The sequence below is a fragment of the Homo sapiens genome, chromosome 4, assembly GCF_000001405.40.
Source record: "Homo sapiens chromosome 4, GRCh38.p14 Primary Assembly".
Lineage (NCBI taxonomy): Eukaryota > Metazoa > Chordata > Mammalia > Primates > Hominidae > Homo > Homo sapiens.
This window is the reverse complement of record NC_000004.12, coordinates 120,696,396-120,714,459: the sequence shown is the minus strand read 5'-3', so window position 1 is coordinate 120,714,459 and position 18,064 is coordinate 120,696,396. Positions and strand designations below refer to the sequence as shown.

The window sequence follows — 18,064 nt, the reverse complement described above, 5'->3', positions numbered from 1 at the left end:
ACAGAAATTAAAAGCCCTAGGGTCCCATTAAACAGCAAGCTGAAAAGAGAATTGATCAACTGATTTTTAAAATCAATTGACTTTAAGAAATTAGAGTACAACAGAAAGAGATGGAAATGTTAAAGAGATATTAAGAAATATGAAGAGTAAAATTAGTCTATTATATATCTCATTGGATTTGTAGACTTTCATTCAACAACAAATGAGAAAAGTAGTCATATTCAGTCAAAAACAATTTGCCACCAACAGATCCTTGGAAAATCAGATACATAAAAAAGCCTGAAAAGTAAAGAAATTGTTAATCATGTGTAAAGCTAAATCACGTTGATTATATAAAATGATAATGATTTCATATTAGGCATTGCAATGGACTGAATATTTGCATTCTCCCCAAATTCTTATGTGAAATCCTAACCATCAGTGTGATGGTATTAGAGAGTGGGACCTTTGGGAGCTGATAGGGTCATGAGGGTATAGCTGTCATGAATGGGATTAGTGCGCTTATAAGGAACTGAAGAGACCAGAGTACTTTCCTTCCACCATGTGAGGACAGGGAATTCACAACCCAGAAAAGGGCCCTCATGTGAACCTGACTAGGCTGACACCCTGACCTTAGACTTCTAACCTCCAGAATGGTGAGAAATAAATGTCTGTTGTTTATAGTGACCCAGTGTATGGTATTTTATTACGGCAGCTCAAAATGACTAAGACAAGCATTAAAAATCAAGATATAAATAAAATACTGCTCTAAGTGTAAGAGGATCGTTCTACAGTACCTGTATTATTCAGTAGGAGATAAAACATATGGATAAACTTTAGTTTTAAACATACAAAGTAAAATATTTTAAGGATAACCATTAAAAGGAAAGAAATAGAGATAATAACTTTTAAAGTAGTACCAGGGGAAAGGATCAATCTAAAACATGTAATAAAATATATGGGAAAAACTTGTAAAACAAATAGGATAATAGTAGTGCACAAAATAAATGTTGGAAATATAGTCAAGTATATCAGTAATCACAAATTTGTAAAGAGGCAAAACTTGCCATCTTAGATAGAAGTAATCTTTGGATCACAAAAAAGCTTGGGTTAAAAAAATCTAGTCATATGCTGTTTATAAAAGTCACTGCCCATGCATAAGGATATAGGCTGTTTGAAAGCAAAAAGATGAGTATAGCAGGCAAATACTAATTTTAAAAAGCTTTTATAGCTATATGGCAGTCATATTAATTTCAAGGTAAAAAAGAATTATTACAGATAGAAAAGGTCATGTCAAAATGATAAAAGGTTCTATTTTCCAATAGCATAATAGTTTAAAATTTGTATATACTTACATACCTAATGAAAGTCTCAAAACATCTAAAATAAAGTGATAGAATCACAAGGATACAGTGAATATTGGAGTATAAAATGGTTTATTAGCTTGGTTTATTAACTTTGCAGAGTTATTTGTTTATTCATAGAAAAGTTGAAGATTCAGTCCCACATCTAGGTACACATGCCTTAGAGAATTGCTTTCACCTATATTCAAGTGTACAAGATTTTTTCAGAGGAACATTATTTATAAGAGTGAACAACTGGGAATAACTTAGCTATCCATCACTGGAGAATGTATATAAATAAATTGTGGTATACAGCTATTTAATGTCATATGCCCAACATTGAAAATTAGTAAATATGAGCTACATATGTTCACAAAAATGAAAGCGAGGACTAGAAACTTGTGAGGATAATGTTGAACAATGATAAAGTACATCTCAACAGAACACACACAAAAAGTGGATACGGAATGATAGTATTTACATACTTTCAAATGGCAAAATAATACTCTATCTTAAGGTTCCATTCATACATAGGTAGTAACAATGTAGAGAAAGGCAAGGGAATGGTACTTAACATATCTGAGGGAGCTGTCATCCCTGAGGAGATGGGAGAGTGCTGCAGGTGGTGGGGGAGGAGGCAATTGAGAGCGGCACCTGTATTGAAAAGGTTGGACTTCTTAGGCTAGTTGGTGGGCAGATGTATGTCTCTCTGGTTATTTACATACTGTTTTTTATAGGTCTGCAAAAAAAGTTATAGATTTTTTGATACTAGAGAGAAAATATAAATACAGCTTGTTAACAAGAAACATGCATACACTATCTCAATTCAAAAATGTTTTTGTTTTCTTTTTGAGAGGGAGTTTTGCTCTTGTCGCCCAGGCTGGAGTGCATTGGAGTCATCTTGGCTCACTGCAACCTCCGCCTCCTGGGTTCAAGCGATTCTCCTGCCTCAGCCTCCCGAGTAGCTGGAATTACAGGTGCCCGCCACCATGCCCAGCTAACTTTTGTATTTTTAGTAGAGACGGGGTTTCACCATGTTGGCCAGGCTGGTCTCAAACTGCTGACCTCAGATAATTCGTCCGCCTTGGCCTCCCAAAGTGCTAGGATTACAGGCATGAGCCACCATGCCCAGCCCAAGAATGTTTATAGCAATATTTTTGAAGATATATTTGATTAAAAAAATGGATCTCACTGCAAATTTACCTAAATCTGAACGAAACTTTTTGATGATGCACTAAGTAGTAACTTGCAAGCTGTTGGAATGGAATAATATTAATTAATTTATTTCACAATTAATCCGGGCTAAAAAGATGGTGATAAAAAGATGGTGATAAAACTTAGATGACTAAGTTCCTGGTATCAAAGAAGGCTAAGGAATTCTAAATTATTTTTTCTCTTCATTTTGAGGTACTTCTTTGCCTTAAGTTTTCTTTATTGTTTTTATAATAAAAATGCCTCATTTAAAAATGTAATTTAGATTTTATAAAAGAACATCCTACTGGAAAAAGATGAGGTAATAGAAATGAAAACACAGGTGCAGTGGCTCACACCTGTAATCTCAGCACTTTGGGAGGCCAAAGCAGGTGGATAATTTGAGGTCAGGAGTTTGAGACCAGCCTGGTCAACATGGTGAAACCCCATCTCTACTAAAAATACAAAAAAAAAAAAAAAAATAGCTGGGTATGGCAGCAGGTGCCTGTAGTACCAGCTACTCAGGAGGCTGAGGCAGGAGAATTGCTTGAACTAGGGAGGCAGAGGTTGCAGTGAGCCAAGGTCGTGCCACTGCACTCCAGCCTAGGTGACAGAGGGAGACTCCATCACAACAACAAAAAGGAAATACATAAATCACAGTTGATTCATTTTTAAACTTATCCCCCAAAATCTGTAGAAAATTTAGTTCTAAAGTTTTTATTTCTAGGAATTCCTCTTAGAAAGTAAACAATTTGTACCCTCTAGATCAAGGGTTCTCAAACTTTCTTCATTCATGATGCCCTGAGTATCTCAGTAGATTTTTATGGTACCCATAAACCAAAAGAAATGACCTAGAAGTGTTAAGCAGTTACATCACAGCAACCATCCAGCATCCAGCATTGCAAAGACAGGACATCATTGGAGGAAATGTAGCACAATCCAATGTTGAAACTGAACTGCCTTGAGCTAGTCATTTTCAGTGTCTGACAGATGTGGGTTATTCCTATTTCTCCTGAAAATATAAAATTGCTCATAGCACCTGTATTAGTTTGTTCTCACACCACTATGAAGAAATACCTGAGACTGGGTGATTTATACAGGAAAGAGGTTTAATTGACACTACAGTTCTGCATGGCTGGGGAGAGCTCAGGAAACTTACAGTCATGGTGGAAGGGGGAAGCTCACTCATCCTTCTTCACATGGCGGCAGGAGAGAGAAGCATGGAGCAAAGTGGGAAAAGCCCCTTATAAAACCATCAGATCTTGTGAGAATTCACTCACTATCATGAGAACAGCATGGGGGTAACCAGCCCCATGATTCAATTACCTCCCATCAGGTCCTTCCCATGACATATGGGGATTATGGGAACTACAATTCAAGATGAAATTTGGGTGGGGCACAGCCAAACCATATCAGCATACCTGTAAATTTGCTGCAGTATTCTGTGGATCCCATAACACACACCTGAATATGGAGGACTCTGCATTCATTCATTCACTGGCAATTTTGGTGGTCTCTTTTTGTTGACTGCAGGAGAAGCCGTACAAGTGCTCAGAGTGCAGCAAGGCCTTCAGCCAGAAGCGAGGCCTGGATGAGCACAAGAGGACGCACACTGGAGAAAAGCCTTTTCAGTGTGATGTGAGTTTGGATTTTTTTCCCCCATAGTGTCTTCCAATAACAGAAAGTAGGGGTGTGTGTGTGTGTGTATGTGTGTGTGTGTGTGTGTCTGTGTGTGTGTGTTGCATTGCTGGAATGTGCCTATGCCTGTTAATGTCTTATGCTATTTATAGCTTGTTCTTGCATAATACATGTAACTGCATTGTAATCATTTTATTCATCTGGTTTACTGGCAGCAAATAAATTCTGATTTTCTTTTAGACATGCTTGTACCCTGTTTTAATACCGTTGAGTTGTTCTTCCAAGGTGTAAAAGCATGATGATTTGAGGCAGCTTTCATGTGTCTGGCCAAATCTTTACTGATTAATGACAGTTAAACCAGAGATTTGACTGGTCATACATATTATTTACTTGGTTAAAGCCAAGCATGTACAAAATTCCAAAATGCATATAAACTCCTTTGTGTTAAATAATGCTGTTACTAAGTGTCTAGGTTTTCTGCTTATGACATTTGGATTGAAATGGAATTATTTGACATAGCATACATTATTTCTGAAAGGAAAAAAATACTACTGTTGACAGTAAAATTAATCTGAATATTGATCAATTTAGGGGAAAAAAAACCACTGTTCTTTTGTGCGGGATTGGCAGTTGACAGAGAATTGACACAGATGTTAGGGAATCAATGTAAGAAAAAACATTAAAGCTGTGCTGTGTGATATGGCACAGTGCAGAATTCTGCTTAAATATTGAGGGAAATTCCAGAACTTAGATCCATCATCATGTCCCAATGGATACAGCATAGGGTAAGCAGTCCATATGAAAGGAAACTCACAAACACAAGATGTTTTCCTTGTCCTTCCATGAAACTTCAGTGGTAAGGTTAAGACAACAATGTACTCCCAGTGGGCATACTCATAAAAATACCTTTATTAACAGTACACTTCTTTTAAGGAAAGAAACAGTTGTAGAGGAAGAAATGCACACATATAAAGCTCTATACTGAACAGAGCTACAGCCCTAGTTCAGTGATTTCAATTAGTTTAAGTCATTGCTGCTTTTATTGGAAGGATTTTCATAAAGGCAAAACCTATTTAGATGGTTTAATTGTACTGTGACACAAGTAGCTGATATACAGCCCAGAAATTAAATGCTAGCTGCATATGGACATCTTTCTACCATGACATTTAACTCATCCTTTTATCTATGCTGAATGCTTTTGTTGGATATTTCCTTAGGTGAATTGAACCATCATGTTATGTTTTTTGAAACTATGATGTTACAAGCTGACTTTTTTCTATCTGCTTCCGTCCCATTTATTTCTATGATGTGTTTAAAATTCTGAAATCTTCATTTGCAGCCCATACTAATCTGCTGTGTAGAGATCCATATTTCTAAGTGCCTCCTAAACATTTCTGAAATGCAGACTGCTCAGTATAGAACTGTCTTTGCTCCAAAATCTTGTCCTCTTAACCTACTCATTGTGGATAGAAGTCACTGTTTCCCACCCCACTCCAATCTCTCTCCCTCTTAAAGAGCTCTCAGATTCATTAATTCCTCTTAGTTTTCATTTCTACTTGTAACACATAGCTCAGACCTTTACTGTTTCATCTACATGCAGTCTCCAGTGTGTGTGTTCTCTACCCTGTCACCCTACCAAGGTGCTGCATTTTTTTAAATTGAGGTGAAATTCACATGATATAAAATTGATCATTTTAATGTGAGCAGTTCAGTGACGTTTAGTATATTGACTGTGTTGTACAAGCACCACCTCTCTAACTCCAAAATATTTTCATTGCCACAAAATAAAACTCCATACCCAATAAACATTTACACCTCACTCCCCTCATCCCTTAACAGCTACCAATCTGCTTTCACTTCTATAGACTTACCTATTCTAGATATTTCATATAAATGAAATATGCAATATGTGACCTTTTGTGACTGGCTTCTTTCATTAAGCATAATGTTCTCAAGGTTTATCCACATTTTCTCATGTATCAGTAGGTCATTCCTTTTTATGGCTGAATGATATTCCATTATATTTTTATATCACAATTTGTTTATCCATTCATCTGTTGTTGGACACTTCTTTCTACCTTATGACTATTGTGAATAGTGCTGTGGTGAACATGGGCATACAAGTATTTGAGTACCTGTTTTCAATTATTTGGGGTATATACCTAGCATTGAATTGCTGAGGCATATGGTAATTCTGTTTAACTTTTTCGGGAACTGACATACTGTTTTCCTTAGGAGCGACACCATTTTACATTTCCATCAGCAATGCACAAGGATTCCAATTTCTCCCCATTCTTGCCAACACTTTTTTTTTATTTAATTATCCATCTTGGTGGGTGTGAAGTATCTGACCATGGTTTTGATTTACATTCCCCAAAGAACAAATGATGGTGAGCATCTTTCCATATACTTCCTGACCATTTCTACATCTTTTCTGGAGAAATGTTTCTTCAAGTCCTTTGCCCATTTTGAAATAGTATTGTCTTTTTAAGAGGTTTTAAATATTGGATATTAGGCTCTTATCAGATATATGACATGCAAATATTTTTTTCATTCTGTAGGTTTTCTTTTCACTTTGTTGAAAATATCTTGAGATGCATAAGGCCTTTTAATGTTGATGAAGTGCCCTTTATGCATTTTTTTCTCTATTTGATCATGTTTTTGGTGTTATATCTAAGAATTCATTGCCAAATCCAAGGTCATGGGATTTGTCCTTCTGTTGTTTTTTTTTGTTTGTTTTTGTTTTTTTTCTCTAAGAGTCTTATAGTTTTAGCTCTTATATATGGTATAAGGAAAGGGTCTATTCTTTGCATTCTTTTTCAGTCTTTCACTATTGAATATAGTGGGTTTTTCATAAATGCCCTTTATTTTGTTGAGAAATCTCCCTTTTTACCTAGCTTTCTGAGGGATTTTTTTAATCAAGAGAGGATGTTGGAGTTTTTCAGATACCTTTTCTGCATCAATTGAGATGACTATGTTTTTTTTTTCCCTTTGTTCTGTTCGTATGATGTATTACTTTGTTTGATTTTCCTATTCGAACCACTGTTGCAGTCCTGAGATAAATCTCCATTGGTCATGATTTAGAACCCTTTTAATATGCTCTGAGATTCAGTTAGTATTTTGCTTGCTTGTTTGTTTGTTTTAGGATTTTTGCATCTGAATTTATAAGAGATTTTGGTCTGTAGTTTTCTTTTTTCATAACATATTTGTCTGACTTTATTATTAAGTTAATGCTAGCCTTACAGAATGAGTTGGGGAATGTTTCCTCCTCTTCTGTCTTTTTGAAAGACGTACAGAATTGGTATTAATTCTTCTTTAAATGTTTGGTAGCATTTATCAGTGAAGCCACCTGATCCTGGACTTTTCCTTGTTGGTATGCTTTTTATTTGATTCAACCTCTTTATTGGTCTTTTTAATTTTTCTATTTCTTCATGGGTCAGTTTTGGTAATTGCTGTGTGTTTCTAGAAGTTTGTTCATTTAATCATGGTTACCAGTTTGTTGGCAAATTGGGTAACCATGATAAAATGGGCATATATATATATATATATAAAATTTATATAATGGACATATATATATAATTTATATATATATATATAAAACCAGTTTTGCCCAAATGACACGTTACTCATCAATACTACTTTAACCTCTTAGGCACAGTCATTCGAGGCTGTGCAAATGGCCCAGCATGCCTATAGCAATAACTTTGAAATCTTTCTTTCTCCTGCCCAGGTCTCTCTTTTGAACCCTAGGCAGATATTTTCAACTGCCTATAGGACATCTCTCTTGTACTCCAAACTGAAATCATGATCTCCCAGATTTCTTAATCTCTCAACATGATCCTTTTGATTTCCCATATCTCTGAGGACTGTACCATCCCCAAATAACCCAAATCACATATCTGAGCCTCATGTTGGACACCTCTTTTCCCCTAAGTCATGAATGATAGCCATTATTCTAGTTAAGGTCCTCATATGGGAAATACACAGAGATCCATGGTTTGCATATATTCTCTCTGATCTCCACTAAAACTCAGGAATATATAGGTGTTATTTGCATATATATGAAGAAGTCGAGGTTCACTGAGGTTGAGTGACTTGCCTGCAGTTCACAGCAGTCAAGATTCTAGAGTTTAAGGTTTCAGTGAGCCAAGATCGTGCCACTGCACGCCATCTTGGGCGAGGGAGCAAGACTTTGTCTCCAAAAAGAAAAAAAAAAAAAAAAAGATCTAGGATCAAAACCCAGATCTTTCTGAGCAGTTTACCATGCAGCTTTCACTCACACCCTGTAATTCCTGCCTTTGCATCTACCTGTTTTTCAAACATACCACCATCTCTAAATTCTCATTGTCACCTTTATTTCTCTAATTCTCTCACACCCTACATCTAATCCAGTAGCATATCCAATTGGTTCTACGTTAAAATAAGTTCAGAGTCTGAACGTTTCTCATAACTCCACAGCTTTATCTCAGTCTCCTGGAATATTGCAATATCTTTTTAACTGCTCTCTCTCCTTCTGTCTTTGCTCCCAACAGTCTCATGCAGAGTAATCTTTGTAGAACCTGAGTCAGATTATATATTTGTAAAATGAATATAGTATTCATTTGCTCAAACCTTCCCATGACTGTGCATCTCATTTAGAGTGAAAACCAGTTTTATCATGGTCTGAAAGACCTCAGGTGACCTGCAGCCCTCACCCTCCCACTCTGCTCTCTTTGACTCCATCAGCACCCTCCACCTCACTCTGGTCACATGGCCTCTTTAGTCTTTTTTGGACACATTGAACCTACCCTGAATCTACATCTTGGCCTTTGCATCTGCTGTTGCCTCTGCCTAGAACACTTTTCTTCCGGTTCCTTCATGGCCTGCTCATGTGCTTCTTTCAGATCTCAGCTCAAATTACTTTCTCTCTTATCTCCATTACTTCCTTAGCTCTCATTCTATATTATTTGTCTTCATGGCACTTATATCCACCAAAAATTTGTTTAATTATTTATCATTTATTATAAGCTCAATGACACAAGGTTTTGTCTTTATCATTTATTGTTGGATCCTCAAGCCTAGAACAGTGCCTGGCATGTGGGAAGCATTCAATATTTTGAATGGATAAAGAAATTAATTGATAACTACTGCTTTTGTTCATGTTTAAATCATTTCTGGTCTGGAGTGGAACAATAGTACTGGCCTCCTTGGCTCCAGTTTCATACTCTCTTGCTTGCTAACTGAATTATACTTTAGTTTCAGTCTCTATTTAGAATCCTTTAGTGAATTCCCACCACTTACAAAACATACGTCCACTTTCTTGAAATGATTACCATGATTTCCAGGATTTGTTTCCAGCTTTCAACTCTAAATTATTTTCAATTTATTTCTCTAGTGACATCTAATCTTTAGCTTTTGTGAATTCTTTTCACTTCCCCAGCTGAGCCATGTTCTTCACGCTCACAGTACCTGTAACTATCTTCTTCCCCCTCCCTGTCATATCATTCCCCCGCTTAGGACATGATAAACCGCGATGCATCCTTCCAGATCCAGGCCTTCTGCCAATTTTCCCTTAAAGCCTGCCTTCTTCTCTCCAAGCCATGGACTGCACGCTCCTCTGTTCCTCTCTTTGTACTATGCTTGTGACTTTACAAATGTTTCCACTTAGAACGTGGACTCCACAAGGGCTAGACAGTGTGTTCTTTGTCATTTTGTTCCTAGCAGAAGTGGTAGGCACATTGTATGTGATAAGTATGTGTTAACTGAAGATACTTATCTAGAATTTAGGTGCTTTCTGTTAAATATCTTATTTCACTTTATTTTAAAACAAAATCAGTTTACCTCCAGTCTAGAGTAAGAATAAATATTTTCCTAATGCACTCCTAAGTTGGAGTAGGGTGAAAGTTTGGATACGAATCACAGATGGAAAGAAAAGGAAGCATCCGTGTTGTACTACTTGAACTAGTTTTTGCTCTCCCCTGTTTGTAAAATGAAAGTTCTTGAATTTGGCTGATTTATACAGAGCATCATTTGGAGTCTTTTACTGACTGCATTCAGGTTCATGAAAACAGCTTTTAATGTCTGGGTAGTCAGTTTTACAACTGTGACATCAGGTACTCTCTCCTGATATTTAATCCTGTACTCTGGCTCTCATTCAGCAAGCTGTTGGAGTGTTCCCATCTCATCCCTAGTGTGGAGCTTCTAGGACTTCCTTAATTCAGACCCATTATCAATGATTTCAGCATCTTGCTCAACTTCCTTTCCGTTTTTTCCAGCTTGCCATTGCTCTCATTTTCCCATGGTAACTGTGTAAATGGACTTGCACTTTGTATCCCTCCCACCACAGTGGCAAGCTGAACTGTCTGAGAACCTTTCTTACATTTTCACAGTGGTTTTTATATATATTTTTAATGGTGTCAGCCAGGCAAATGGAAAAAGTAGGGTGAGCTCACATATCTCTGTTTGAAATGAGATATTTTAGTAATAGTTGGCCCTTGGGAGGGAGGATAGACTCTGAACCCAGACTGTCTGGGTTTAAATTCTGGAAACACCACCTAGTTCTTTGAACCTGGGAAACCTAGGTAACCTTTTGTGTGTTCATTTTCTTCTGTAAAATGGGTTTAATAGTAATACTAATATCTACTTAAAAGCATGACTGTGAGGATTGAGCAAGTTAATATTTAGAAATTGCTAAGAGTGGCTCCTGGAACATGGTGAAAGTTGTAAGATAGTTAAGCCTAGGCCCTGTGCTGGACACTGGGATGAAATAGTAGAAGATGCCATGTCCTGCCCTCATAGAACTCACATTCTTGTAGAGTATAGCATTAAACAAATACATGAGACCAGGCATGGTGACTCATGCCTATCATCCCAGCACTTTGGGAGGCCGAGGCAGGAGGATCGTTTAAGCCCAGGAGTTCAAGACCAATCTGGGCAACATAGCAAGACTCCATGTTTACAAAAAACAAAAATAAAAAATTAGCTGGCATGGCGGCACACACTTGTAGTCTCAGCTATTCAGAAGGCTGAGGTGGGAGGATTGCTTGAGCCTAGGAATTCAAGGCTGCAGTGAGCTATGATCAGACCACTGCACTCCAGCCTGGGTGACAGAGAGACACCGTGTCTCCAGAGAAAAACAAAAACAAAACAAAAAACAAAATACATGAATTAACATGCAATTACAATTCATGATAAAGACTGGGAAAGAGAAGGAAGAAAAAAGCCATGAGGCTATAAGTAACCTAAAAGATGAGAAGAATCAGCCATAGGGAAAAGAGCATTTCAGGAGAGCAACAGCATGAATTGAGGCTGGGAATGGGCATGGGGGAAAGAGAAGGCTGGTGGAGATGGAGCACAGTGAGAGAAAGAGAGGGATGCAGGGTGAAGTAAAAAAGAGAATTGGAGGCTTTGCAGCCAAGTTAGGAAATGTATTGTGAATCTAATTTTAATAAGAAGCCATTGAAGAATTTGGTATCAGTTGTTTATGGTGACATTGGGTTTGGAGAAGGGGCGAGAGAAATAGAACATGGGAATAAATGTTAAATCGATCTTCTTTATGATTATGAATTTGAATATATACTTATAAAAACAATTTAGCATTTCTTTCACTTGAAAATACTCTCCATTGATACTTTCTTCAATTTCTCCAGGATTATTCTGCAGTCTTTGGGGGTACTTATATTGTCCATAGAGATTTAATCAATCAATCATTGAATCTATCAACCATTATTTCTTCCTTTAATTCAAGAAATTTTTATGTAGTGGCTACTCTTGCCCTCATGTTCCTTAGTTTAGCAAGGAGACAGACATAAAAAAATAACGCAAATCATGAATGACACTTGAGGAAAGTGTTGTTAAGGAAAAGTAAAGGCCGCTATGAGAGCATTTAACAGAGACCAACCATCACCTGGCAGATGTGTCACGTGGGCTTCCTAAGGATGAGTAGGAGTAAGCTGGGTAAAGAGAAGCGAGAAAGTTCTGAGGCAGGAAGCCCAATGGTTTCTTCAAGAACCTAGAGGAGGCCTGTTTAGTTTGGCTAGAGCTCAGTGATTACCTTACAAGTAGCAAAACACCATGGAACAATTTTAGGTAATATTGTGACATTTGTGTTTTCAAAAAGTCATTTCAACTGTTATGTGAAGCATGGACTGGAGAGGATGAGGAGGAATGCAGAGAGATTCAGAAAGTATTTAGCAGTGGGTTACTTTTGGCTTGTATGAGCGTGTCCTGCACATTAGAAGGCATTACTTGCATGCTTGCCCCTATGCAAAATGCAAGTAATATTCCCCATTTGTTGAGACAGTGAGATACCCCCCACAATTCCAAACATTTCCTGCAGAGAGGGGAAGTTGTACCACCTCTATTTGAGGATGATGAAGCTGGCTATTGCAATAATCTAGGCTTTAGTTTTCAGAGTGAAGAGATGTATATTGCAGCAGGCATACATGACATCCATTGGAATATGGGAAGAAAAAATTACCTCTTTGATTCCCATTTTTTTTTCAATTTCTATTTTAGATTCAGAGAGTACATCTGCAGGTTTGTTGTACATGGGTATATTGCATGATACTGAGGTTTTAGGTGTGAATGATCCCATCAGCCAGGTACTGAGCATAGTACCCAGTAGTTTTTCAACCCTTATCTCCTCCCCTCCTTCTCTGCTCTACTAGTCCCCAGTCGCTATTGTTACCACCTTTATGTTAATGTTTAGCTCCCACTTATAAGAGAATATGCAGTATTTGGTTTTCTGTTCCTGTATTAATTCACTTAGGATAGTGGCCCCCAGCTGCATCCATGTTGCTACAAAGGACATGATTTCATTCTTTTTTTATAGCTGCATAGTATTCCATGGTGTATATGCACCACATTTTCTTTATCCAGTCCACTGTTCATGGCACCTAGGTTGATTCCATGTCTCTGCTATTGTGAATAGTTCTTCAATGAACATGCAAGTGCATATGTCTTTTTGGTAAAATGATTTGTTTTCTTTTGCATATATACCCAGTAATGAATGGGATTACTAGATCGAATGGTAGTTCTGTTTTAAGTTCTTTTAGAAATCTCCAGACTGTTTTTCACAGTGGTTGAACTAATTTACATTCCCTCCAACAGTGTATAAGCATTCCCTTTTCTCTGCAGCCTCACCAGCATCTGTTGTTTTTTTTTTACCTCTTTTTTTTTTGTTTGTTTTTTGTTTTTGTTTGTTGCAACAGAGTCTTGCTCTGTCGCCCAGGCTGGAGTTCAGTGGCACAATCTTGGCTCACTGCAACCTCCGCCTCCCAGGTTCAAGCAATTCTCCTGTCTCAGCCTCCCGACTAGCTGGGACTACAGGCACCCGCCACCGCACCCAGCTAATTTTTGTATTTGTAGTAGAGACAGGGTTTCTCCATATTGGTCAGGCTGGTCTCGATCTCCTAACGTCAGGTGATCCGCCCACCTTGGCCTTCCAAAGTGCTGGGATTATAGATGTGAGCCACCATGCCTGGCTGACTTGTTAACAATAGCCATTCTGACTAGTGTGAGATAATATCGCATTGTGGTTTTGATATGCATTTATCTGATGATCAGTGATTATGAGCATTTTTTCATGTTTGTATCCACTTATATGTCTTCTTTTGAGAAGTGTCTGTGAATGTCTCTTGCAATAATATATAAATACAGTAGTGCATATATATGTTTTATTTAAAAATACAGATATTAGTTGCATTTTTTAATGGGGCTGTTTTTTGCTTATTCAATTGTTTAATTTCCTTACAGATTCTGGACATTAGAACTGTTGGATACAGTTTGTGAATATTTTCTCATTCTGTCAGTTGTCTGTTTATTTTATTGATTGTTTTGCTATGCAGAGCTCTTTAGTTTTATTAGGTTTCACTTGTGAATTTTTTGTTTTGTTGCAACTGCTTTTGAGAATTTAGTCGTAAATTATTTCCCAAGACTTCTGTCCAGAATGGTGTTTCCTAGGTTTTCTTCTAGGATTTTTATAGTTTGAGCTCTTACATTTAAATCTTTAATTCATCTTAAAGTTAATTTTTGTATATGTTGAAAGGTAGGAATCCAGTGTCATTTGTCTGCATATGGCTAGCCAATATCCCAGTGCTTATTGAATAGGTGTTTATTGAGTAGGGAGCCCTTTTCCTGTTGCTTATTTTTGTCAACCTTGTCAAAGATCAGATGGCTGTAGGTGTGTGACTTTATTTTTGGCTTCTGTACTCTGTTGCATTGGTGTATGTGTCTGATTTTGTACTAGCATCCTGCTGTTTTGGTTACTGTAGCCTTATAGTATAGTTTGAAATTGGGTAATGTGATGCCTCCAGCTTTGTTCTTTTTGCTTAGGATTGCTTTGGCTATTTGGGCTTTTTATTTATTTATTTATTTATTTATTTTGGTTCTATATAAATTTTAGAATAGTTTTTTCTAGTTCTGTGGAAAATGATATTGGTTGTTTGATATTTGATAGTAATGGCATTGAGTCTGTAGATTGCTTTGAGCAGTATGGCCATTTTAATGATATTGATTCTTCCAATCTCTAAGCATGAAATATTTTCCCATTTCTTTGTATCATCTGTGATTTCTTTTAGCAGTGTCTGTAGTTCTACTTGTAGAGATCTTTCACCACCTTGGTTAGATGTATTCCTAAGTACTTTTTGTATGTGGCTATTTTAAAAACAGGAACACAGTTAAACTTTATTATCATTAAACAGATGATTTGACTTTGGTGCCCTGGCTTGGGCACTGCTGGCTGGTCTCTTATGAGGTGCAGTATCACATGTGATCAAAGGGAAGAACGCCAATTCCATGTTGGTGCTGGTTGGCTGACAGTCCCAAGGCACTTGTTTGCTTTCAGGGCACTGTTAGGATTGCAGTTTGTGTCTCTTGGGCTAACAGAGATAAGAATTATATTATCTGTTTTTAAATAAAGTAATGCTTACAAAATGAACAAGTTGCTAAAAGAAGCCTGTACAGAAATGCAGATTGAAAATAATAATGATACAAACACAAGATAACAAAAAGAAAGCAGAGTTAATACTACTAGTCAGTAGCAATTTGAGATAAAATATAATGACATCATCATATGTGATGAGAAGTAAGCCAAAAATGGAAATTATTAAGGAGACATCTGAAATATATATATATATATATATATATATATATATATATATATATATTTATATTTCCTATAATTGCCTATACATTTGTTAAAGATGACTTTGGCCCTAAATATGTATCCCATCTTAAAATCTTGTCTAGTGAAAATATAAAGCCATAAATATTAATTTAGCATTAAAATATTTATTTTGTCTTTATCCTCAAAATTTTGTCTGTCTTTAATATAATATATAAATACAGTAGTACATGTGTATGTTTTATTTAAAAATACAGATACTACAGTTGCATGCTGAAACATTTTCTTAGTGAAAGAGAAGCACTGGTCTGAGTAAACAGTGTCTCTGACTAAGGTGGTGGCAGTGGAGATGGAGACGATTAGATGTCTTCATGTCTTTGAGAAAAATGTGCAAAGAAGAACCGGTGGAACTTTGTAATTGATTAGATCAGATGAGGAAGAGTGAGACATTGGGTGAAGGTTGACTGCCACATTTACAGTCAAACCAGGTGGAGGGTCGGACCATTTTTTGAGACTTAGGTTTGAAAGACAAGAATTCTGAGTTCAGTTTTAGACATAGTAAGTTTGGAGTACCAGTGAACTATCCAAGTGGTCAGTTAAGTACTCCACTGTTGAGATCAGAAGGGGGACTGGACTAAAAATATTACTTGCTAGTGATCTCCATATATGTGGTAACAAAAGGTATGAATACGATTAAGATCACCAGAGGAGAAAATACCTAGTGAATGGAGAAGAAAGCCAAGGATTGGGCACTGAAATCCTGACTGACTTAGTTAGGATGGAGGAAGGGCCTATTCCGGAAAATAAAGGGGAATAAAAGGCCAGATAATTAGAAGGAAAACAAGGAGAGTAGATCATTATAGAAACTAAAGGAATGACAGGGGAAAGGCATGTCAAATGATGCTAAGAATTCATGTTAAATGAGGGCTCAAAAGTGCCAGGATTTGGCAATGTAGAGATTATCCATAACATTTCAGAGAGCTGTTTGGAGAGTTAAGAAGTCCAAGGCAGAAGTCTGATGTGAGTGGACTTGCTGCTTAAGTGAACATGGAACCATCACCCAACTAACTGCATTTTTTCATTCCAAAATAATATTTGCTTTCTGGTTATAAAAATGTACTTTTTAATTAGAGAAGAATGAGGAAATATGGAGACAAAAGAAGACAAATAAAATGATTCCCAATTTTCCAACCAATGTCAGCTAATATTAATATTAATCTATTGACATTTTCTTTTTTTTTATTTTATTTTATTTGTATACTTATTAATACAGATAGTTATAATTTTTATTTGAGTATTGTCGACTAAGTTGCCTTGATCTTATTATTCTGCTTTCTTTTCTCTATGTTTCTTCTTGCCTTTAAGTATTTTTGAAATTACAATCTCGGCTGGATGTGGTAGCTCACATCTGTTTTCCCAGCACTTTCGGAGACTGAGGCAGAAGGATCCCTTGAGCCCAATAGTATGAGATCAGCCTGAGCAACATGGTAAAATCTCATAGGTAAAAAATACAAAAAAAAAAAAAAAAAAAAAATAGTTAGCTGGGCATGGTGGCATCTGGCCTGTAGTCCCAGCTTCTCCAGAGGCTAAAATGTGAGTCGAGGGAGGTCGAGGCTGCAGTGAACCAAGATTAATGCCACTGCACTCCAGCATGGGTGACAGCGACATCTTGACTCAAAAAAAAAAAAGATTAATATTTTTAACAGCTGAAAAATATTTCTAAATCTGATTATATCAAAATGAATATGCTTATTAATTTTAATTGGCCAAATAAGTCATTTGTAATTTTCACTTTTATATATGATTCTGTATGAGCATCATGTATATAAATCTTTGACTAGGAGACAGTCATACAAGTGATACTCCTGGTTCTTCAAAGGCTTGCTCTCTCTCTGTCTATCCAAGATTCTTCTGAGGAAGTACTACTTAGTACCCATTACACTCTATCAGCCTCATTTTGTACACTTTCATGCACATTCTAATCCCTCTCTTAAAATAGTGTTTGTGTATGTGTTATTTTTTGTAAATGTATTTCTCAAGTACAGTATGCGTGTGTTTGCATTTTGCTTTTTACCCTAATTGAGTCTTATCTTTTAATAAGGGTACTTAATACTTTTATATTGATTATTATAATTTATATACTTTGTAGTCTGTCATCATATGCTATGCTGTTGCATGTTTCCTGGGTCTTTACCCTTTTCCTCTGATTTTTGCAACATGGACTTGGCTTTGTTTTGCAGTTGCCTCAAAGGTATTGAGTTACAAACCTTATGCTTACAAGCTATTCCAAAAGAAAATGTCATTTCCTGAGATAAATTGGCTGCATTTTATTGTTTTGGGAAATTATTTGTTTGCAAAGTCACTTGTATATTCCAGGGGACTGCCACTCTTTAGAACAGTGGTGTTTTCTTTCTATTCCACTTGTGCTGGCCTTGCCTCCCTCTCATTAACATTTGTCTATTCTTTCCAATCTGCTGAGGAAGATGAAAGAGAAAAAAAAAATGTACACTGACATTTATTGAGTGTCTGCAGTATAGCCCTTATTTACACAGAGTATTTTATTTAATCTTAATAATCCTGCAAGGTAAATACATTGTCATTTTACAGGTGAGGAAACTAAATTTAAAAGGCATACTTGGTCATTTAATTTCCTTAGTAAATAGTAGAGTCAGAATTCCAGGTGGTTCTTCAACAAATACTTATTGAGTGCTTACTTTACAGAAATTGTTGTACCCTTTAGGGGACATAAGGGAATAAAGTATATGAAGATCCCTGCTCTCATGGAGCTGAGACTCTAGTGAGTAGAGAG

General features: G+C 36.6%; 1 protein-coding gene across 18 annotated transcripts in view, besides 1 other annotated feature; it reads left to right on the top strand.

Annotated features, from left to right (window-relative positions):
• The window catches only part of PRDM5 (PR/SET domain 5), a 238,436-nt gene that overhangs the window by 208,267 nt on the left and 12,105 nt on the right, over positions 1–18,064 (top strand). For 10 of the 18 annotated variants that reach the window (XM_047449558.1, XM_047449557.1, XM_011531566.4 and 7 more), the window contains one exon: positions 4,047–4,151. The exons of 3 other annotated variants lie outside the window; for them this stretch is intronic. In XM_047449558.1, coding sequence (XP_047305514.1) covers positions 4,047–4,151 — 105 coding nt within the window. Of the gene's footprint in view, positions 1–4,046; positions 4,152–16,620; positions 16,785–18,064 lie in introns of those variants that run through there. 5 more of the 18 variants (XM_047449555.1, XM_011531565.3, XM_011531568.3 and 2 more) reach the window with 5 other exon arrangements.
• Positions 12,493–12,662: an enhancer, noted in NCBI's record as "experimental_72528 CRE fragment used in MPRA reporter constructs". NCBI's record gives its function as "activates a minimal promoter by MPRAs in K562 erythroleukemia cells, with activity observed for both the introgressed and non-introgressed 4:121623038 variant alleles {active_cell/tissue: K562}" and the evidence as "EXISTENCE:reporter gene assay evidence [ECO:0000049][PMID:34662402]".